The following is a 24237-nucleotide window of genomic DNA, read 5'->3' on the forward strand; positions in this document are numbered from 1 at the left end:
TTCATTTGTCATTTGTGTATCTTCCTTGGTGAAGTGTCTGTCAAGGTCTTTGGCCCATTTTTTAATCAGGTCGTTTGTTTTCTTATTATTGAATTTTAAGTCTTCTTGTATATTTTGGATAACAATTCTTTTTTTTTTTTTTTTTTTGCAAATACTTTCTCCCACTCTCTGGTTTTTCTTCTCATTTTCTTGACATTGTTTTTTACAAGGTAGAAATTTAAATTTTTATGAAGCTCAGTTTATTATTGATTTCTTTCATGGACCATGCATATTGTGTTGCATTTAATGACTCATTCCCATGCTGAAAGTCATCTAGGTTTTCTTCTATATTATCTTTTGGAGTTTTACAGTTTTGCATTTTACATTTAGGTTTATAATACATTTTGAGTTAATTTTTGAAGACTGTAATGTCTGTGTCTATATTCATTTTCATATGTATATATATTTTTTGCCTGTGGATATCCAGTTGTTCCTGCATCATTTGTTAAAAAGACTATCTTTGCCCCACTGTATTCCCTTTGTTTCTTTATCAAAAATCAGTTGACTTTGTGTATGCAGGTATATTTATAGGTTCTCTATTCTGTTCCATTGATCTATTTGTCTCTTCTTTCATAAATGACACACTTTCTTAATTAATGTAGCTTTATGTTAGGCTTTGAAATTAGGTAATGTCAGTCCTTTGATTTGTTCATGTCTTTCAGAATTGTGTTTGTTATTCTGGTTTTTTGCCTTTCCATATATGCTGTAAAAAGAATTCATCAGAGTCCCTCCAAAAATCTTGCTGGACTTTTGATTGTTATTACACCGAACCTGTAGATCAAGCTGGGAAGGATAAACATTTTGACTATATTGAGTCTTCTTATTTATGAACATGGAATTCTTCATTTCTGTAGTTGTCCTTTGATTTCTTTCATCAGAGTTTTATAGTTTTCTTTATGTAGATCTTGTAAATATTTTGCTAGATTTATACCTACATATTTTACCTTTTGGGTGCCAATGTAATTGTTTTCTGTTTTTAGCTCAAATTCCACTTGTTTATTGCTGGTATATAAGAAAATGAATATGTATATAATGTATATAATAATAAATAATTACTTATATACAATATATCATATTTTATATGTTAACCTTGCATCCTGCAACGTTGATACTATTGCTTACTAGTTCCAGGAGTTTTCTTTTTGTCAATTCTTTTGGATTTTTTTATGTTGATGATCATGTCATCTGGGAAGAAAGTTTTATTTTTTCCTGCCCAATCTGTATAGCTTTTCTTTTCTTGTCTTGTCTTATTGCAGTAGCTAGGACTCCTGATATGATGCTGAAAAGGAGTAGAGAGAAGGGACATCCCTTTCCTGATCTTAGTGAGAAAACTTCAGTTTTCTCATTATCAGGTATGATGTTAGCTGTAGGTTTTGGTAGACACTGTTTACTGTATTGAGAAAGTTCTTCTCTATTCTTGTTTTACTGAGTTTTTTTTTTGTTATGATTAGGTGTTGAATTTTCCTAAATGCTTTTTCTGCATCATTGATAAGATCATGTGATTTTTCCTCTTTAGCCTGTTAATGTGATGAATTACATTAAATGACTTTCAAATCTGAACCAGTCTTGCTATTTGTTGCCCTTGTTCTTTGTTCTTATTCTGTCTTCCACTCTTTTTTTTTTTTTAATAATTCCTTTTCTGGTTTTTTTAAGGATTTTTTTTTTAATCTATGATTTTCTTTTTTCTTTTATTTTGGTGGTGGTGGAGGTGGGGACACAGTCTCACTGTGCCCAGGCTGGAGTATAGTGATGTGATCTTGGCTAACTACAGCCTCAACCTCTTGGGCTCAAGTGATCCTCCTGCCTCAGTCTCCAGAGTAGCTGGGACCACAGGCATGCACCACCACGTCCAGCTAATTTTTGTATTTTTTTTTTTTTTTTTTGTAGAGATGGGGTTTTGCCAAGTTGCCCTGGCTGGTCTCCAAATCCTGAGCTCAAGTGATTCACCCACCCTGGCCTCCTGAAGTGCTGGAATTACAGGCATGAACCACTGTGCCCAGCCTATCTATGATTTTCTATAATTTGAATAGGAAATATTTAGGTATTTTGTTTTGTTTTGGTATATATCTTGCTGTGTGTTCTCTGAGCTTCCTGGATCTGTGGTTTGGTGTCTGACATTATCTGGGGGGTAATTCTCAGTCATTGTCTAAAAAAAATCTTTTTTGATTAATTTCTCTCTTTCTTCTCTATCTGATATTCCCCGTATGTATATGTGATACTTTTTGCAACTGCCCTACAGTTTTTAGATTTTTTTCCATTTTTTCTTTTGTCTTTGTTTTCTTTGCTTTTCAGTTTTAGATGTTTCTACTGATCTGTCCTTAATCTCAGAAATTCTTTCCTTGGCTGTGTCCCGTCTACTAATAAGCTGATCAATGATATTCTTCATTTCTGTGACAGTATTTTGATCTCTAGAAATTTTTTGTTCTTTCTTAGGATTTCCATCTCTGTTACATTGCCCATCTGTTCTGGCATGCTGTCTACTTTATTATTAGAGCTCTTAGCATATTTGTTTTAAATTCCTGGTCTGATAATTCCAACACCCCCGATGTGTTTCTCTGATGCTTGCTCTGTCTCTTCAGATTGTTTTTGCCTTTTAATATGCCCTGTAATTTTTTTCTTGATAGCCAGACATGATGTACTGGGTAAAAGGAACTGCTGTAAATATGCTGTTAGTGCTGTGGTGGTAAGGTGTGTGGGGAGGGGAAGTGTTCTATAGGCCTACAATTTGTTCTCAGTCTTTGAGTGAGCCTCTGGGCTGTAAACTTCTCCAGTGTTTCTTAGTCTCCCTCACTCCTCACACACCCTTTAGCTGGGAAAGAACTCAAGGGTGGGCTGAAGTTGGGTATTTCTCTTCCACCAGGTCAGTTAACCTCTGATAAAACCCCAACAGGTTAGGCTTTGGTTAACTGGTTTCTCCTGAGGGCAGAACTTTGTTAAGGACAGAGTGCTGCAGTGTATTTCAGAATTATTCCTTTTCCTCTATCCATGCTGGAAGTGCAAGGGGATTTTTCTGTGATATTTACTGTGGAAGCCTGGTCAAGTTGCTGAAGATAAAACTTATAAAAGTGTGGCCCCAGCCTCCCCACCCCATGACTCAGCCTTCCTGGAGTTTTTGACTCTCAGACTTGTCCTTTCTGAGCCTAAAACAGTTTTCAAAATACAGTTGAGGTTTTCCTACCTCAGCAATGGTTCCCATAAATGCTTCTGCTTCTGAGTCTTTGTTCCAGTAAGCCACGACTCCCTGCATTCACCTAATTGTCCAATCCTGGGGGCAGTGGTATGCCCGATGTCCTCACCTTTATTATGGATCCAAGATGAATTGTTGAATTTTCAGTCTGTTCTGCTTTTTACTTATTAGGAGTGAGTGGCAACTTTAAAGCTCCTTACATGCAGAACCAGAAACTAGAAATCATCTGTTATTGTCTTTTTAATATAAATTTTGAAGAACATTCTCTATATTAAGAAAACTTGTCATATAACCATCATATAATGTATACCTATATCTTCTTAAAAAGTGTATTATCATTTTGACTTTACTTATGATCTTGTTTGTCATGCAGAATTTAAAAAATACTATATAGTCAAATTTATCAAAACTTTTTTCATGGACTGTGAGTTATAAGCCCTGCTTAAAAATCCATACCACTCCAAAATGGTAAAATTTTATACTGTATTTTCTTTAGTTTTTCAGACTTTTTTGTATTTAAATTTTTAATAAGAGTGTGTATGTAAAAAATGAGGTTGATGTCCAGGGATTTTTATTTTTCTTATTTTTTTGGTTCATTTTGAGGCTGCCACTCATGCTCAACATCCTTTTCTGAATAACTCATTTTTCTTCATTGATTTAAAATGTTATATTTGTCCATTTTCCACGTTTCTTATTTTTCGCTATTAAGGTTTTCAACTTAAGCATTAAAAAAATCCAAAATGGATTGTTTATTGTTAATGGTGCATAATACCAATAGCTTACTGAATATGAGAGTAATATGCAGCCAGTCATCACTGAGCTCATGCTAGAAATAAGTATGGGATTATGATGTGAATAGAAGGAATGTTACTAGAAATGGAGAAAGAGATAAACTGTGAGAGTGTGTAGTGAGGTGTCACCTAAGGCAATGTAAACTATATGCCTGTAATCTCAAACTTGTCAGTTGTTTCCAGTTGAGAGGACTCAGACAAAGCAGTAGAAAATCATGCTCATAAATTGTTCACTGAGTAAGAAGTAGACAACCAGCTTTGGAAAACAATGACAACTTGGTATCTTCTTTGTTCTTCTTGAAGAGGAGAAATTAAATAGTCAACACTTGGTTTTAGAGTTCTGACAAGTTCCAACTAGTTGAAATGCCTTGGAATTTGCAGCTACTTCAAGTTTGGGATGCTGTCATTGTTCTGGAAGAAGATTTTTGAATTTTTTCTGTTACCACATATGCTCCTTGATGATGTTTAGTTATATCCACTGTGGAAACTATCATAGCTCTCTGAGAATGTTGTTGAAAATTGATTATATTTCAAATATAGTGCCCCTAATTTAAGCCGAATGAGTATGGACAGGTCTTTTTTGCTGAGATTTCTTCTTCCTGCCTCTCCCTCTCCTTCACCCTCTTGTTCCTCTCTCTGTCCTCTGTCCTCTTTTCTTTCTCTTCCTTGACTTTGCTGGACTGATTCCATGATCCTTTCCTGAAGTAAGCATCTCTGGGGGATCAACCCTTACTTTGGACTACAATGCCATTGCCATCAATATTTAAAAGTAATCTCACCATAAGATACCATCTCACACCAGATAGAATGGTGATTATTAAAAAGTCAGGAAACAACCGATGCCATTGAGGATGTGGAGAAATAGGAATGCTTTTACACTGTTGGTGGGAGTGTAAATTATTTCAATCATCGTGGAAGATGGTGTGGCGATTCCTCAAAGATCTAGAACCAGAAATACCATTTGACCCAGTAACCCCATTACTGGATATATACCCAAAGGATTAGAAATCATTCTACTATAAAGACACACAAACATATGTTTATTGCAGCACTATTTACAATCGCAAAGACTGGGAACCAACCCAAATGCCCATCAATGATAGACTGGATAAAGAAAATGTGGCACATGTACACCATGGAATACTATGCAGCCATAAAAAAGAATGAGTTCATGTCCTTTGCAGGGACATGGATGAAGCTGGAAGCTATCATTCTCAGCAAACTAACATAGGAATAGAAAATGAAAAACCAGCCAGTCACAGTGGCTCATGCCTATAATCCCAGCACTTTGGGAGGCCAAGGTGGGTGGATCACCTGAGGTCAGGAGTTCAAGACCAGCCTGGCCAACATGGTGAAACCCCATCTCTACTAAAAATACAAAAAATTAGCTGGGCGTGGTGGTGGGTGCCTGTAATCCTGGTTACTTGGGAGGCTGAGGTAGGAGAATCACTTGAACCTGGGAGGTGGAGGTTGCAGTGAGCCGAGGTCATGCCATTGCACTCCAGCCTGGGCAGCAAGAGCAAAACTCTGTTTAAAAAAAGAAAAAAAGAAAAGAAAACTGAACACCGCATTTTCTCATTCACAAGTGGGAGGTAAAAAATGAGAACACATGAACACAGGGAGGGAACATCACACACCGGAGCCAGTCGGGGGTTAGGGGGAGAGCAGAGGGAGAGCATTAGGACAAATACCTAATGCATGTGGGGCTTAAAACCTGGATGATGGGTTGATAAGTACGGCAAACCACCATGGCACATGTATACCTATGTAACAAACCTGCACGTTCTGCACAAGTATCCCAGAACTTAAAAAAAAAAAAAGTAATCTCATTGTAAAGGAAAGCAGCTGTTCACAAGAGCATATAAAACTAACAATGGATCTATATTATTTAGGTTCACGCAGATTTAAGACTGTGATGTCTACATGCAACTCTCTGTATATATCTATCTGTATTGATAGAGATATGTACATATCTATATCTGTATCTATCTATCTATATAGAGAGATTTATTTTAAGGAATAGTTTCACACAATTTTAGGGGCTGGGAAGTCCAACTTCTGCAGGGCAGGTCGTCAGGCTGGGCAACCTGGGAATCACTGATTTTGCAGTTTGAGTTTGAAGACAAGTCTGGAGGCATAATTTCTTCTTCTTTGGAGAGCCTAAGTGTTTTTCCCTTAAGACCTTCAACTGATTGAATGAGGTCCATTCACATTATGCAGAAAATCTGCATTACTCAAAGTCTACTGATTCAAATATTAATCTCATCTAAAAACACCTTCACAGTGACATCTAGACTGATGTTGGACCAAATATCTGGGTACTGGGGCCTATCTCAGTGGATGCATAAAATTAGCCATCACACGGTCTTTACCTCTAGCAAATCTTTTCCAAAAGCCTACTTTGCTTATACAACTATAATATACCAACTTTCTTTTTATTGTTTCTTGTATAACTATTTCCATTCTTTCAACTTCTCTGAGCTTTAAATTTCAAACTTAAAATAAATCCTCATATATCTACACTCTCAACTGTTCATAAGCTTCTTATTTCACTGAGAAAATAGAAACAATCAGAAGAGAATTTTCAAAAACTTCAACACTTACCAGTCACTTGCATCTATGCTCAAATACTCTGTCTTTCCTCTCATTAGAATGTCATCCCCTGTGTGCAGGGACTTTGCTTATTCTCAGCACTTATCATCATACCTGAAAATGTAGGCATTTGAAAAATAATTGTTGAATTAAAAATGAATAATAAAAATAACTCTGTCATTACCAGAACAAAACTATCATTTATTCATTCCCTCAATAAAAATTTATTATATGCCTATTTATTGACAGGCCTTATTCTAGCAACTGACAATGTAGCAGAGAATAGAACAGATAAAAGTCCCTATCCTAAGGGAGCTTATATTTCAGTTGAAGGCTAAGTTCATGTTAGCCACTACAATAAGCCTTTACATGAATCATCTCTTCAATCTTTCAAAAATTGTTAGGTAAGTGTTATCATACCTATTTTCAGATGAGAAAGCTAAGGCTCAACTCTCCTATTTAATATCACATAGAGCCAGAATGCAGAGCTTCAAATATATGTCTAAATTACTAATCTACTGTGCTGATATAGACATGAAGGGCTTTATCCTCTATATCATGCTGCAAATAGGAGGAAAAAAGCTTGATCAAAAGTTCTAAGCAATTGTAGCTCTGACCCCAAGAGGGCAGTATTTGCATTCGCCCCGCCTGCAGGTCTGAATGTGTAGTATGTGTAACATAGCGAAGCCTGGTCTCTGATTGGCTAGGGATACCCTCTGAGAAACCCTTTGGTTAGTGTTAAAAAAAAAGAGAAGATGTTGAATACACAAGTCAACTTCTGGGAGCAGATCTCTGCAGAATAAAAATGAAAAAGCATCTGACGACCTTCTTGGTGATTTTGTGGCTTTATTTTTATAGTAAGTTAGTGGAGAGTTTTAGCAAAGTTAACATAGTAAGTCAAGGGAATATTTTCTTAGGATTTGGGGTGAAGATGTAGTCCACTGGGATAGGAGGAAGGGAGAAAATGGGACCATTTTCTGTTTCACTTGGGATTCATTGTGGGGAGTAAGGAAGGGATGCAAATTAGACAGTATTAATACTGGATGATGGATCTCTTGAATCTCACTTTTCTTTCTGAATAGGGGGGAATGGCAAAAACCAAGTGGAGCAGAGTCCTCAGTCCCTGATCATCCTGGAGGGAAAGAACTGCACTCTTCAATGCAATTATACAGTGAGCCCCTTCAGCAACTTAAGGTGGTATAAGCAAGATACGGGGAGAGGTCCTGTTTCCCTGACAATCATGACTTTCAGTGAGAACACAAAGTCGAACGGAAGATATACAGCAACTCTGGATGCAGACACAAAGCAAAGCTCTCTGCACATCACAGCCTCCCAGCTCAGCGATTCAGCCTCCTACATCTGTGTGGTGAGCGCACTGTGCTCCACAGGCACTTGAAGCCAGTATGCAAACCTGCACCTGGAGGTTATCAAGGAGGCATAGGAGTTAGAGTAGACCGTTATTTTTTATGCAGAATATGATTTCACTAGTGAATATTTATCTCTCCGACATGATTTGATTTGAGCTTGAGCCTAAAGTTCTACTTAGGCTCAAGTAGAATACATGTCCTCAAGCGAGGATAAAGACATTCTCACTCAACACACAAAGTTAATTGCTACATCTGGGTGTTCCCAAGGGCAAGACAGTCTGTCATGCTGTGTTACTATTGCTGAAGTAGATGACAGTGTTGTTTGGAAGGGAGAGACTAGCTTGGTTTTTGATCTGGACACCTACCAGCAGAATGTCAACTAAGTGAAAGAGCAACAAGTTTATGTGGCTGATGGAAATTTTTTTTTTTTTTTTTTTTTTTTTTTGAGATGGAGTCTCACTCAGTCGCCCAGGCTGGAGTGCAGTGGCGTGATTTCGGCTCACTGCAAGCTCCACCTCCCGGGTTCATGCCATTCTCCTGCTTCAGCCTCCTGAGTAGCTGGGACTACAGGCGCCCACCACCACGCCCGGCTAATTTTTTTGTATTTTTAGTAGAGATGGGGTTTCACCGTGTTAGCCAGGATGGTCTCGATCTCCTGACCTCGTGATCCACCCATCTTGGCCTCCCAAAGTGCTGGGATTACAGGCGTGAGCCACTGCTCCTGGCCGGAAATATCTTGAGAAGTTTCCTTCCCCTGAAAGACATTCAGTTGTCATTTCATGGCTATTCAAGTTCTCAGAAAGCATCCTGTGAGAATAAATCTGCTCTTCCCATTTAGCTATGCTCCAGATCAAGGCTTTTGTCCAGGTGCTGCATCAACTCTTTATTATCTTCCATCACTGCTCCTTTAGAGGACACTGGAAGGCCAGGGGATCCTGGCAGACACAGTCACTCTCAGGCAGCAGAACAACTGTGCCAGGCTTTTCAACCATCAGTGTTCTAGAAAAGAGACTTAGGGACAGAATGCCTACCTGCAATTGTGAACTCTGGTTTTCACAACTTAGCTGTGAAGTTCTTTTTGGGACAATTAGAGAAATGTACATATAATTTGAGAATTAGATGAGAAAAGTACTTATTTAAAAGGCAGATATCAACTGTAAAAAAATGGGAAGAATATATACTAAGATATTAAAAATGGTAATCCTTGTATTGTGGGAATATAATGTTTTTACTTTTTATCTTTCCTTGTCTTCTGTACTTTTAATTTTCTATAGTTCTCGGATTTTTCTTCTGTCAAAATAAAGATTATTAAAAAATAACAAATGTCTTAAAAAATTTAAAGGAATGCATCTCATCTGTCACTATCAACTCACAGGAATTGATATTTAAAGATGATCACACATTTCAGGATATTGTTGAATAAGATTGATTTGTTATGCTTATGAGCACTGCAAGTAAGTTCATTTCCAAGTTCAGTGAATTGATAATTTGTGAATAAATGAAGCCAGGACCTGGACTGTTCTTTGTAACTAGTCTGGAGATAGCTCAAGTGTCAAGACATCAAAATGCCTTGACTTCTGGAGCAAAAAGTAAACCTAGATATATTCAGTAATCAGATATTTTTTCCTGTCCTGTATCTCCTTTCAAGTCTTTAGAGTGAAGAAATTAAAGTTCAGATTGCTGCTACAGCAGACTTGTGTGAGTAATCATAAACTAATTGAGGAAAAAGATAAAATACATGAAAATGGAATCAATAGGTAAAATTCCAAGTACGTGGACAAATAAGTTTTAAAGGTATTCTCAGGAGGAGATTACTGTGGGACAGAAAAGATAGGAGAAAGTATCATGGGGAATAGCAAATTTAGTTAGGTCTTGAAGGAGAGACACACATTGAATTTGTTCATTACACAATTATTTATTAAACAAATAATGAGGCCAGGTGCCGTGGCTCATGCTTGTAATCCCAGCACTTTGGGAGGCCAAGGTGGGCGAATCACTTGAAGTCAGGCATTCGAGACCAGCCTGGCCAACATGAAGAAACCCTGTCTCTACTAAAAATACAAAAATTAGCCAGGCATGGTGGCATGCACCTGTAATCCCAGCTACTAGGGAGGCTGAGGCAGGAGAATATCTTGAACCCAGGAGGCGGAGGTTGCAGTGAGCTGTGATTGCACATCTGCACTCCAGCCTGGGCGATGGAATGAGAGTCTGTCTCAAACAAAACAAAACGAAATAAAAAACAAATAATAAGTGACAGGTGTTTTTGTAGGTAGAAGGAGTAGGGTAATAAACAAAATAGATAAATGCAGACACAAAAGACCTTCCATTACGAGGCTTGAGTCTATGTTTGTCTATTGCGTTCACTTTCTTTTACAGGAATATCTTGGGAAGTTTGCATTCCAATATAGGCATTTCCTTGCTTGCTTTAGTTTAGTTTAGTTTGCAGGTTTCATATGGTGAGTAAAAGGCACAGGCATTGAAATGCTCTATCTATCACTTACTAAATTGCATTACTCTGGACAAAATTACATAACTTCAGAGCACCTACGCGCCATCAATGGTAATTACACGTACATCACATGGTCATAAGGATTGAATTAAGTTAAGTGAATTTAATTAAATGATTGAATTGCATTGGTAGAAAATAATTTTTCAACTAATGGTAGTTATTCTTGGACATAAATGATAAAACAAAGGTAATTTAAAATAAGACAATAAGAAACTTTAAGTATAGATTAAGGTTTGCCTTTCCACTCTTCTTCTGTTGATTATATTCTTTTACTACAGTTATGGCCGAGAGTCACCCTTTATTTCACATTGGCCTTATTCCATTCAATTATTTGAACTGACAGTATTGGCTTTCTTGTTTGTTTGTTTGTTTGTTTGTTTTTATCTCATAGGTTTTCTGCACAGAAAATGAAGCTTTCTTGCTTCCGGTGTAATTTAATGTAAATTCTATGATGAATCCACATGAGCTTTATGGAGCAGGACTCCGATATAACACCATTATACTGACCTACAGTGCCAATAACTAGATCCATACCCAGGAGCTCATTTAACAGAGCTCTGCATTGGAAAGGAGAGAAAGTAACCTTTCTAGGTTTGGGGGAGAAATCCTTTTTAGTTATTCAATTTATAACTTGTACATACATGGTAGATGCCCAGGAAGTATTACAGAAGAAAAAAGGAAAGAGAAAAATCTAAGGGACAAATGCTAGATGCAGCTGACTGAGAATCAGCACCTGGTTCTGCCAGGGTCCTTTTCCATGCTACCTCTTCAGAGATCAGGAGGAGCTGTGTGATCTGTGCACCGGGGAGTAAATCTTGTTTCTGGCTGGTTGGGGAGACTTTCAGCTTCCTGCAACAAAGAACTATGAATGTTAACTCAGAGAAACCAGAGATTTGGCTTGATAGTGTTTGAGGGCTCCCAGACCCCAGCCAGAGACCTCACTGAGTCTAAGTGATAAAAACGGAGAAGCCCTTGGGAGTTTCATTCTTGATTTCCTCCTGGCAGCTGTGCTGTGAGTTGCTGGGCTCTGGAAATATCATAAAAAAGAGCAGATTGTAGTTTCTTCTTTATAAGTCTGGAAGTTATAGAAGGGTGGTTAGGGTCTCAGTGCTCACCTGTGGGGGCTGTGAAAAGAGAGTATATCTTCCAAATGAATGAATTTCCGTGAATGAATGTCCTCTGTCTGTGGTTCTCTGTTTAAACAGGGGTGAATAGACTACATACACTGGAGCAGAGTCCTTCATTCCTGAATATTCAGGAGGGAATGCATGCCGTTCTTAATTGTACTTATCAGGAGAGAACACTCTTCAATTTCCACTGGTTCCGGCAGGATCCGGGGAGAAGACTTGTGTCTTTGACCTTAATTCAATCAAGCCAGAAGGAGCAGGGAGACAAATATTTTAAAGAACTGCTTGGAAAAGAAAAATTTTATAGTGTTTGGAATATCGCAGCCTCTCATCTGGGAGATTCAGCCACCTACTTCTGTGCTTTGCAGTAGTGTCTCCCCAGCACCTGCAGCCTGTACCATAACCTGCAGCCGGGACCCTTGACACAGGCTAGCCTTGCAGGTGGGAGTGAAGATTTTTTTTTTTTTTTGTATAGAGGGAACTTTCTTTATGACCCGCATCTCCAAAATAGAAGTGAAGGATAATGTATCTTTCTTATGTAATGAAACTGAATTTATATTAAATTAAATTTCCTTTTGTTATTATTTAAATTTCATTCCTTGATGCAGTTTGTACAGATTCTGAGCCTGTTTGCCCACAGATTCCTTCCACTGCTTTACTCTTTAAGAGGAAAGACCCCTTTGTGGTGCAGGCTCTGAGTCCATGAAGCAAGTTTTCTCCAGGCTATACCCTCATCAGGAACATTTTACCCATTTGATCATATCTTCATGATGTTTTTGTACCATCTATACCATTATTTACTTAATTTAATATTAAATTGATGTTTATGTTAAATAGACTTTAAAAATAACTGTAAAATTGTCTTCATTTTACCAGATACCATCTGTGAAACCATGTATATGATATAAATAATATATTTAAAGTGCTGCTTATATTTTTCCCAATATAAATTAAAATAGCATCATATATGTAACAATTGAAAAGGCTGTCTGTATACTGCCTAATAGGACCTCTTGTATCAATCACACTTTAAGAAATACTGATCCAGCCCATACCCCTCATTTCATAAATGAAAGAATTGAGATCCACAAGTATGGTATCATTTACTCAAGCACGACTTACAGTAAAATGAAAGCTATAAAAAGAGTCTAGGCTTTATGATCCCTTGTCAGTTGCTTCTTCCACCAATGATGCAAAGCAGGATCTAAAGTTTGAAGAAAAGAGTTGCGTGTTTTACATTTAAATTAAATTAAAAGTTTTATTTAATTGTGTATGTTCAACCTAGGTAAATTAGAAGATACGACTACCTATCAAAGTAGAGCATTCTCATAACTTCATCGCCTAGAAATAACAAGTATTTATTTTTCAAATTTTCTTGTATACATATACAACTACATTTCTCTATGAATGGGGCTGATAATGTCCCCAGTATTTATTAATGTGCTTGCTTCTCTCAACATTATAGATATTTCCATGCCAGGGATCTTATATTGAGGATATAATTTTAAATGACTGTCTAGTTTTCATTATATATTTTTTAAAAAGTGAATCACCTTTTGATAATATTTCTAATTATCCAGTATTATAGACAATGTTTTTATTAACATCATTCAAGTCACAGCTTTCACAGAATGGAGTTGGGTGAATAAGGGAAAACACATAACACTGCATATCTAATTTTCAGGAAGAAATTTTTCACCAAATTGTGATTCCAACAATAGCATGTAATGCTTTTTGTTTTCCATACTTTCTTTACCTGTTATGAACATTATTACTTGAAAGAAGTTTCCACTTTGCCAAGTAAAATTTTTAAATGTTTTGACTCTTTTACTCTATGAAGTTATACATTTGTTATTAAAAATAAATGAAACAGGATTAGAAAACATACAGAGTAAGAGTGTTTCACACAACATAAGTATCTTCATACAATAAGATATGTTAAAGAAGAACTTTGAAAAACACTCTCATGGTCCCATTTACCTTCCAATGTTCTCTTTCCTTTCAAGGCTATCTATTCTCCACGTCGTTCCTACTGTAAGTGTGGACCAGCACTATCTGAACTTGTGCGGAATCTCAGGCTGACTGAATTTGAATCTGCATTTTAACAGACCAACCGTGTCATTCTATCCTTCAAAGTTTGAGAAGCACCCCTTTCATGGGGTGCCAGAATGATTTTTTACAATATAAAGTAAAAGCTGTCTCTACTAGCCCAAAAATGCTTCAATGGCTTTCTATTGCTTCTAGAATAAAAATGCAAATTTCAGGCTGTGCTACACAAAGATATGTATCATGTGAACCTCCTTTTCAATCTCCCCTTTTAACTCTCCTAGCTCTCTATGTAGCAATAACACTATTCTCCTTTCAGTATTCTGAACTTGCCATGTTCTTTTCCACATTTAGTCAAACTCGTCCATTTGAAATGCTCTTCCTCCAAATATGGGCAAGCCCAATTCATTTTCACATTTCAGATCTCAGCTCAAGTACACACTATATAGATAAAGACTTCTGACTTCTGTTGATCTTCGTGACTAACGTAGCCATCCATGGCTCTCCCCACAGCTTTATCACAAAACCCTAGTTATTTCCCTTATGGTAATAATCATAACATCTAGTTATAATGTTGATTTACATGCCAATGTGTTCATTGCCTAAACTTCCAATTAGGATACAACTTCTATGAGGTCAGGGATATTGTTTGTTTAATCACACCTTTAACTTTAGTGCCTACCTTTAGTGACTGCCCCATAATAGTCAGTGAAAAAATATCTTCTGCATGTGGCTGGGCGTGGTGGCTCATGTTTGTAATTCCAGTACTTTGGGAGGCCGAGGTGGAAGGATCAGTTGAGGTCAGGAGTTAAGGACCAGCCTAGGCAACATAGTGAGACCCTCATCTCTACAAAAAACAAAAATAAAATATTAAATGAGTGTGGTGGCATGCGCCTGCAGTCCTAGCTACTCAAGACGTTCAGACAGAAGGATATCTTGAGCCCAAGAGTTGGAGGCTGCAGTGAGCTATGATGGTGCCACTGCACTTCAGCTCTGGGTGACAAAGCAAGACCTCATCTCTTAAAAAATAAAATAAAATAAAATAAAAAAGAACTATATACAGAATGAATAAATGAATGTTGCTTGGCCTTGCGTTCTTTTTTCCTTTCGCTTTCTTCTCACTCCCATCCTAGCAAATCTGAACTTCGTGTATGTGCTCCCTGCTCAGATATCTGGTAGAGTTCTTTAATGCTGGCACTTACCCCTTGTCTCCGGACCAGGCCTTCCTATGCTCAGTGAACTCTGTCAAATAACTAGATCAACTCAGGGTCTCAATCTGTCCTCACTCAATTGACATCAGGTGTAATCTGAATGAACCGAGCAAACTCTAAACATAATCCCACAGTAAAACATCTGAAAGAAAAAAAAGGTATACTTAAAAGATGTTGGAAAGTATGAAATCAACTTCCCAAATCAAATAAATGATAAGCACATGTCAAAGTTTAATCTCAAATTATTGCAAGAGAAAAATTGCATCAGGAAACACATTCAAATAATTGGACTAAGTAGAGACATTTTATAGAAACTAGGTTTTTTTTTAAAGTCAATTTAAAGATAATTATTATGGTCAAATTATTATTGGTTCATAATGACTGTACTCTGTGTAGTGGTTGTTAGACTCATCATGAGATTAATAGTCATCTGAGATTATAACACTAATATCTCAGAATGAGTCTTTATTTTAGTAAAGAATATCAGAAAATTGATCAAATATTTGATCAGGTATGATAGTTAATTCCCATATGGGGCTATACATTTTATCCTTCAAAAAAGTTTCATTCAAGACCAGTTTTGGGAAATTTATTGTTGTCAAAAGTAATTCAAACCAAGTGTGGTGATGTGTGCCTGCAGTCCCAGGTACTCAGGAAGCTGAGGTGGGAGGATCCCTTGAGCCCGGGAGTTCAAGTCCAACCTGGGCAATATAGTGAAACCTCTTCTGTCTTAAAAAAAAAAAAAAAGGTAATTCAAGTCTTTAGTCTTTACTATAATGGAGAGGAGGGATTTGTCAGGTTTTGGATGTTTTCCCTTCCTACAAGTTACTAATCTTGTTTGATTGAGGCTACAGTAAATATATGAAACTACTTAGAGACAAAGGATTTTGTTACTCATGACACAGCAAACAGCATAAACATTGTTATATTCACTTCAGTCGTTCTTTCCCTTAAATCTAAAAAAGATGATATGTATGCTGACGAATACTTTGTTTGAAGTGGTACTGTGTCATAACTGAGGAACTTTGAGCTCGGAGAATTCACTGCTTTTATAGTAAGGAGTAAACCAAATTGCTCTTTGTCTCAGAGGGAAACAGTACCTCACCCCTCAAGGTTTCTTGCTGCAAGCATAACTCTGGAAATTGGTCAGGTAGAGTGGTCATGGTCGTAAACCACTGGCATACCTAGCAAGACATTTATGAGTATAAGAGATTAAGGATGGTCTGGTTTTCAACAATATCCACTCCATATTCTTACATTGTGTTATTTTCTAGAAACTTTTCTCATGAGTGTGCCACTCCAGAAGCCGTTCTGATCAATTTGACAGACAGAGATTCCGAGACTAAATACATTGAATTTGCCTCAAACAATGTTTAAATAAGGCTACTATCAGCAGACCAATCTGCAACATTAACTTCACCCATTTAGTCAGCTGTGACAAAGTCCCAAAGTATAGATAACTAGGATATAATTTCTTATCCATTATACATGGAAGTTTAGATTGATACGCTAATCTTTGTTTTAATTCTCAAAAAGAGTCCAAAAAGTAGCCACCATTCCTAATGGAAAGATGTTCTGTCCCACCTATTCCCAGACATAAGCATAACCCAACAGGTTAATCCAGTTTGGAATTTATTGTTAAACTTGATTTGGATCAGCATTACATCACTTTTGTTGTAGGATCCTTGGGGTGTTGCTTTTCTGACCAGAAACCTCTGTGGTTGGTGGTGCCTTTACTCAAGTTTTGCATGGGCCCCCTGGACTCATTCCACTTACTTGGCCTGGAAGACTATGCTCAGCTCATGCTACCGGCCTGGATCTTATGCTTGCCAAGGGCGAGTCAGGCATGGAGCAGTAAGGGATGTGTGAGGAAGTGTGGGGTCTTGCCACTGCACAGTCAGACATGCTGGCTGCTGCAGTGAGGTGGGCAGTGCTGGCATGGGTGCCAGCTGTCTACAAGACTGAGGCTAGACCAGTTGCACTGCAAGCAGCATTGACTGCTGGCACTGGGGAACACGGTGGCACTCAAAAGCTTGGAGATGCCAGGAACCATAGGGTCCCAAAGAGGGGGGTCATAGCCCTGACTTGGGGAGCTCTCAGGTCTGGGCTTCCCACAGGGCCACAGCACTTCTCTCCTTTTTTTTACCCACAATGTGGCAAACACGGGACATGTTTCAGCCCTGTTTGTGGAACAGCTCTTTTAGCCCCACCATTTGATGGGTTCCAAGTTCTTGTCCTGCAACCAGGAAGAATGAGGTACACAGTCAAGTGGAGGGTGAGCAAGATGAAGTAGAGCTTTATTAAGTGATAGAACAGCTCAGAGGAGACCTGCATTGGGTAGCTTCTTTCCACAGCTAGGGTGTTCCAATGAGTGTTCAGCTCGTAGCAGAGAGGAGACCCTGGAGTGGGAAACTCCTCTCTGCAGGCAGGCTGTCCTGTTGTCTCTGTAGCTCTCAGCACAGAGGAGGCCCTGGGGTGGGTAGCTCCTCTCTGCAGCTGGTTGTCCCAGTGTCTGCAGCTCTCAATAGAGAGGAAGGCTTGTAGTGGTTAGCTCCTTTCTGCTGCTGGTCATCCTGAGGTCTGCTCAGCTCTGGCTGAGCCTGGGGCTTTTATGGGCCTCAGAAGGGAGGAAGTGCATGCCCAATTTATCCATGGGCAGCCATGGGCAGGCCCAGAAAAGGCACCACAAGTTCCCATTCCAGTCTGTGGGACTGGCAGCCTGACACCCAGCCTTCAGGCCCTCCTTGGCCTGAAGGTGTGACCTCACTGGGGACCCACCACTTCCACCCAGAAACCTGTCTGCCTCCTACTGTCATTCTTAGTGCCCAGATGGTAGGTGCCAAGGAGTGCCTTCAGGCCAGTGCCCCCTTGGCTTCCCTCTTATGCTTGTCAGTGCCCAAAATCTGGAGGGTGTCAAGGTGGCAGAGGGCTGGTGTGTGAACACTTCCCCTAGTGTGTGCACACTCTACTGTGCTGCAACAGTGCCTGGGCTTGGCCTCAACTTTGCTCTGAGATCAGAGTGGATGCTGACAACAAGGAGAAGCCAGGCAGTGAGAGTGGGTACTTCTGAGCCTGTGAAGGCAGGGAGGGCTTCCCAGGCCCTCAAGAGTACAGAGAAGCCTCGGTCCACAGCTGCAGTTTGGGAAGCTGTAGCTGCCCACAGAGGGAGGTTGAGGGGGCAATGCTCCTGCCTGCCCCATGGAGCAGAAGTCCTGGGTTTGCAGCCTTGACTTGGGTGGCTGCAGCTTCACTGAGAAGGGTGGGGCTCCTGCCTGCTCCTGGTTTCCCCAAGAGCATAGGGAGGCCTAGGTCTGCAGTCACGACTTGGGAAGCTGCAGCTGTGCCTGGAAGGGCAGGGTTCCCTCCTGCTCCTGGGCAGAGAAGACAGTGATGCCCCTGAAGCTGTGGCTTGGGCAGCTGCAGGGCACCTGGGGAGCTCCTGCTCCAACTCAGAAGGGGCAGGGCTCCTGCTTGTCCCTGGTTCCATGGAGTATGCAGCCCCAGCCATGCCTCCCTGCTGTGATAGTAGTGGCCACTCCAGATGGCCCGCTGCTGCCATCACTTTTGTTAAGCTATATGAGCAGTGCCATTGAGTATTTGCAACCTCTGTAGCCATTCATGGCATAACCCAAGACTTTTCAGACATCAGGAGAAGCATATACATTTGTATGAGTCAGATTGAGACAAAGTTGTACTGATTTCTATGTTTGTACACAGACAAGGATGAAGAATCTATGTTGGGAAGCTGCTATTGATGTATGTATTGCAGAAATTTTCAGGACAGGCCATATTCACAGGAGTTTTACTATTTCAAGGAATGTGGAAGAAGATGACAAACCAAGAGCAGATTGGATAGCCAGCTGCAGCTGCCGCTTGGCTCCAGCAGACCATATAATTGTCTTGCTAGGCTGTGGTGCTTGACCTAGAATACAAAGAGTGAATTAATTCTCCGCTCCTCCACCTCCCGGTCTAAGATTTTCCCTTCCTAGGTGCCAGTGTTATTGCTCTTTGTCCACCATCACAAAATCGGTTCATCCCATTCTAGTAGCTATAACTTTGCCTTTTTTTTGTAGTCAGTTCCTAGTCACACCAAAATCATTTGCCTAGAACAAATAGAAAGAGGAACAGGCATTTGTATGACATTTACAGAGATTCATCATAATTACCACCTTGGCCTTCCTGGAAAACTGAACGGGAACTTGTAAAGCTGTGCACTCAAATAAATGCTGGTTATCCTCATGATGTAAAATCATGTTTAACCAAGAAAAGAATATAGGTGGCTGAACTGGAATTCAATATTAATACCATTCTGACAATGTTGCTGCCTGGAGAGTGTACCAACCAGGCTGTTCTAAGGTCGCTGTTCGGAGAAAGAAAGAAGCATCATGCCTTTCACTTCTAGAATGTTAGAGGAGGTGTACTTTTTTCTATTACTGTTAGATACAGCTAAAAATTCTGGACATTATAGATGTTCCTTGAATTGAAATGAGATTACTTCCCAGTAAACTGATTGTAGTTTAAAATACCATAGGTATAAAATGCATTTAATACATCTTATATACTGGACATCATAAGATTTCCTATCCTATGTTAATCATGCTCAGAACACTTACATTAGCCTATGGTTGGGCAAAATCATCTAACACAAAGCCTATTTTATAACAAAGTGTTGAGTATCTCATCTAGTTTATTGAATAAAGTACCCAAAGAGAATAATAGAAAGGTTGTATTGGTACACAAAGTGCAGTTTGTTCTGATTGGGTATTGCTTTTGCACCATGAAAAAAATCATAAGTCAAGTCATCATTAAGTTAGGGACCATTTGTATATAAAATCAAAAGATAAAAAGTTTCTAAAAGATAGAGAGAAAAAGCCAGATTGTCTAAGAAATTTAGGACCTGAACAATGCTAGAACAGTGAGTTTCATGAGTTTCCTTTTGCCTCATACAAACCAGTGGCATCCAGGAGTAGCCAGTAACCTGGTAATGCCGGTGGGTACAGAAAAGAAATCCCAAAGAAATGCCGTTTTCTGTAGCCAAAGGACCAGGGAAAGGATTGACTATGAAGGCAGAAACTATAAGACCATAACCATTCTACTCTAGCCAAAGACCACAAAAAGTTTTATAGCAACCAAGCATACATTTAATCAACAAAAAGTTAACTGCAACGTAGCAGGAGAGATTTGTGATAGTGTAACTTTCTTTTGCTCCATCTTTCCATCACTGGCTTGAAAATAGTCTTTAAATGGCATCCGGCATTCCCAGTGTGGGTGTCTGGGGCTGGAGGAAGCAGAGTAGACCCGTTATCAAAGAATAGTGCCTGACTATGTTGACCTGTCAGGTGGTTTTCTGAAGGGCTAATTCAAAGGGCTTTCCTGTATTCATATAACTCAAAACCCTCTCAGAGTGGAGAAGAAGTGGCTATGCAGAGGAAATTTTAAAAAAAAATTGATAAAGGGACTCAGTAGCAGGAAGGAGAAAGAATCTGCAAATGTGAAGATAGGCCAATTGAAATTATTCAGTCTAAGAAGCGGAAGGGAAAAAAATTGAAGAGAGCTTAATAGACCTGCGGGACATTATAAAAAGTACAGCCATAAGGATAACAGGATTTCCAGAGTGAGAGGAAAGGAAAAAGCAGGGAGAATATTTGTAAAAATCATGACTCCAAGCTTCCCAAATTTGTTGGAAGACATGAACCTATACATCCAAGAAGTTCAACAAAGACCAAGTAGAAAAAAGGCAAAAAAAAAAAAATCTCATTGGGACACATTATAATCAAACTGTTTAAAGAAAAAGACAAATGGAGAATCTTGAAAGCTGCAAGAGATAAGTGATTAATCACATGGAAGAGATCTTCCAAAGATTAGCAGTCTATTGTTTATCAGAAACCATAGAAGCCAGAAGGCAGTGGGATGGCATATTTAAAGTGTTTAAAGAAAAAAAAATGTCAACCAACTATTTTGTATCAGGCAAAACTATTGTTCTAAAACAAAGGAGAAATTAAGACAGTTCCAGATAAACAAAAACTCAGAGTATTCATCACTTGCAGATTTGCCCTACAAGAAAATCTAAAGGGAATCTTTCAGGCAGAAAAGAAATGGCACTAGACAGCAACTTGGAGCCATGCAAAAATAATGAACAATGGTAAAGGTAGTTACATAGATAAGAATAAAGCCAATATTTTTGTAGTTTTTGTTTGTAACTCCCATTTTTTCCCTAACTTATTTAACAAACTAATACATAAACAATAATTATAATTATATTGTGGAAAATTATACAGAATAATCTCATTGTGTATAATGAGAACACAATGAGTCAAAGTGTGTTTTTCCATGTGTATAAAAATTTCCTTTGTCGCCGTTGTAATTTTTAACAGCACAACTTATGTATTTCAAATAGACACAAAATTAGTAGCATTTACAGTAGTATCTTAAGATAAATTGCCTTTGAATGAGATCTTGCTTTCAATACTTTGATGTCCACAAGGCATATCTAGAAAATTTTATGCTTTGGAAGATGAAGACTGCTTAATCCAACGGGGAAGGGGACTATGATTTCTCTTTGACTAGTTGCCATAACACTGTCCTTAAGGCATATGAAGGACTTTTATATGTTATTTAGACATCAGTAGGCACAGAAGCTTTGCAGTACAACTTTGACATATAAATTCTGTCATTTTTTTTTTACTTTAAAATAAATTTTTTTTTTAAATGTCACTTTGCTAGCATTGATAACGCTCTTAGGTCCACCACAACATTATATCTATTCACCCATACTATTTTTGTTACAAATGTTAAAAAGGTGATTTCTTCCTGAAAGGACTGTGCTTCAGGTCCCCATTCAATTTTAGATGTTATATTTGTTTTTTATAAATTTTCCAAGAATGTAGTGGCTGCATTCTTGGGTTGCTGTCACTCTTCCTTTGGTTTTTACACTTACTGAGAAGTGGCTGTTGTAATTTCTGTCATGTGCAATGTATTCCTGGAAAAAGGGATTTCAATATCAGCATGTTATTCTTCATTCTATTTCCTATGCAGTTGTTGGTGGGAATGGGAAGGGCCTGCCCAGGCCATCATTGATGTATACTGATTACAAGGCTCTTGAGTAGAAAAGAGCCTGCATCATTGCTGGCCTACAGCCACCAGCTTCTTCAAGGACACAGAGCAGATTATGGACTAGAGGAGGAACAGTGGTTGTTGTGCTTGTTACTCTGTAGACCCAGTTAAGTTTCTTGCATAGTTAACCCTCCATAGATCTGGTTTGCTTTTTAGGTTAGGATGAAAAGGCAAAGAGAAAGACCAAATTCATAAATTTTGGAGATTTATTCCTAGATATAAACTTAAAACAAGAAAAGAAATAAGAGGAATTAGACAAATGAACAGACATATAAAAGTCTAGATAGTGAAGGTAGGTCCATCTCTTTTGCAACAGCCCAAACAAATACTGTTTTGACATGACATGCACATGTCATTGGTGTAAGACAGAATGACGAATTCCAAGCTCCAGTCCTTGGCTTTGTTAAAAAATGTTGGCCAGGCTGTGAGCTCAAATCATATTTCTTTATCTAGATTTTAGGTCATTCTATTTTGAAAGAATTCTTTTGAATTATAGGAAATTTCTTTAAAAATTGGAGATAACAGAATGCTATGGGGATGTATGGCCTGACATGGAGAAGAGCTACGTAATGTGAAATGCTCCTTAAATTGCAAGAATCTCACTCAAAGTTTTGGAATAGAATGCTTCATGACTGATTGTTGTGTGCAGGAAAGTGGCTATTAGAAATAATTCCTCTTACTCATACAAGAGTTGCCATTTGATATCAAACACATGCATGCATAAACATCCCCCACAGACATTGACTTGGAGCATTTGCTTCTCAAATTTTTAATTTAACTAATATGTCAGATTTTTACATTTACCTGTTCACATAATACAGGTCTACATCTTGAGTACGTCTTTGATTACTATCATGATTCCACAAGATGGCAGTGTGTTCTTAGGGACCCTGAGGAAAGCTCTCAAGTGCTCGTGTGTGTGTGTGTCTGTGTGTGTGTGTGTGTGCTTGAGAGAGAGAGAAGGAGAGAAAGAGAGAGAATGGGAAGGGCGATAAGAGGAGGGGTTAGTGATATACCAGGGGTTGTGAAAATAACCTCTTTTTTCTAATTGGTAGGACAGATTCTTTTTACGATTCCTAAAGTGGAAGAAATAAAGTATCTCTGCTATGTTCATTTCTTTTTGGATTGAAAATTTTAATCCTCAGTGAACCAGGGCAGAAAAGAATGATGATATCCTTGAGAGTTTTACTGGTGATCCTGTGGCTTCAGTTAAGCTGTGAGTTGGGCATCTCTATAGGAACATAATGTACAATATTTTGAGATATTGTCTATCCTAGGCTGGGGGCTAGAAGCCTGAATTTTTTCTCTAACTAAGAGAGTAGAAAGCCTGTAAAAACATGATTTGAATTCTGGGGAGTAAGCATTTACCTCCCAATTTGTCTTCTCTGTCTGACCACTGTCTTTTTCACAGGGGTTTGGAGCCAACGGAAGGAGGTGGAGCAGGATCCTGGACCCTTCAATGTTCCAGAGGGAGCCACTGTCGCTTTCAACTGTACTTACAGCAACAGTGCTTCTCAGTCTTTCTTCTGGTACAGACAGGATTGCAGGAAAGAACCTAAGTTGCTGATGTCCGTATACTCCAGTGGTAATGAAGATGGAAGGTTTACAGCACAGCTCAATAGAGCCAGCCAGTATATTTCCCTGCTCATCAGAGACTCCAAGCTCAGTGATTCAGCCACCTACCTCTGTGTGGTGAACACACAGTGCTCCCCAGACACCTGCAGTCTGTACCCAAACCTGCTGGGCCCCAGGAATGCCTGATGTAGAGCTTAGACTGCAGGGCAGTAAAGTCCTCTTTGCTCTCTAGATTCAAGTGGAAATTAAGAGTACTAGTATGGAGGACTGATTGATTAGGGAAGTATTATTATAATTCTGAAAATAATTGAGACCCTGAAGAAAAATGAAAGATACAGTCTTGGTCTGGTTAAAATATTTTCCAGTATTCTCTTTCTACTTTAGTTTTAAAATATTTTTTATATTTCTTCTGGAGAGATTAAAAAAATAAATTTTTTTGAGATCATTGACAAACCAGAAGGTTTACATATTCATTTCATACATACATCACAATCTATGCCATAAGCATATCCATCATCTCTAAAAGTTTACTTCCTCCCTCCTTTTTTAAAAAATTTAGGTATGATTGATATACAGCAAGGTGCCTATATCACATAATGTATACATTTTAATGCTCACTCTAGTTTTATGCCACATCTATGCTTTATTAGATCGGTTTTATGATTCCTTTTATTTATATC

General features: G+C 38.6%; 1 pseudogene, 2 gene segments (V, D, J or C) and 1 further gene, besides 12 other annotated features; all 4 read left to right on the forward strand.

Annotated features, from left to right (window-relative positions):
* Nucleotides 1–24237, forward strand: part of TRA (T cell receptor alpha locus) — a 930229-nt gene that overhangs the window by 196190 nt on the left and 709802 nt on the right.
* Nucleotides 7415–7466: a sequence feature (TRAV10 leader sequence).
* On the forward strand, nt 7415–7982 carry TRAV10 (T cell receptor alpha variable 10). The segment is given in 2 exon segments: nt 7415–7466; nt 7692–7982. Coding segments are annotated over 2 exon segments (343 nt in total), but the record flags the coding sequence as incomplete, so codon positions are not given.
* Nucleotides 7692–7702: a sequence feature (TRAV10 leader sequence).
* Nucleotides 7990–8012: a recombination feature (spacer).
* Nucleotides 8013–8021: a recombination feature (nonamer).
* Nucleotides 11446–11497: a sequence feature (TRAV11 leader sequence).
* Nucleotides 11446–11977, forward strand: TRAV11 (T cell receptor alpha variable 11 (pseudogene); annotated as a pseudogene). The gene is given in 2 exon segments: nt 11446–11497; nt 11691–11977. Coding segments are annotated over 2 exon segments (339 nt in total).
* Nucleotides 11691–11701: a sequence feature (TRAV11 leader sequence).
* Nucleotides 11986–12008: a recombination feature (spacer).
* Nucleotides 12009–12017: a recombination feature (nonamer).
* Nucleotides 23150–23198: a sequence feature (TRAV12-1 leader sequence).
* On the forward strand, nt 23150–23681 carry TRAV12-1 (T cell receptor alpha variable 12-1). The segment is given in 2 exon segments: nt 23150–23198; nt 23394–23681. Coding segments are annotated over 2 exon segments (337 nt in total), but the record flags the coding sequence as incomplete, so codon positions are not given.
* Nucleotides 23394–23407: a sequence feature (TRAV12-1 leader sequence).
* Nucleotides 23689–23711: a recombination feature (spacer).
* Nucleotides 23712–23720: a recombination feature (nonamer).

Source organism: Homo sapiens, chromosome 14 (assembly GCF_000001405.40).
Source record: "Homo sapiens chromosome 14, GRCh38.p14 Primary Assembly".
Classification (NCBI taxonomy): domain Eukaryota; kingdom Metazoa; phylum Chordata; class Mammalia; order Primates; family Hominidae; genus Homo; species Homo sapiens.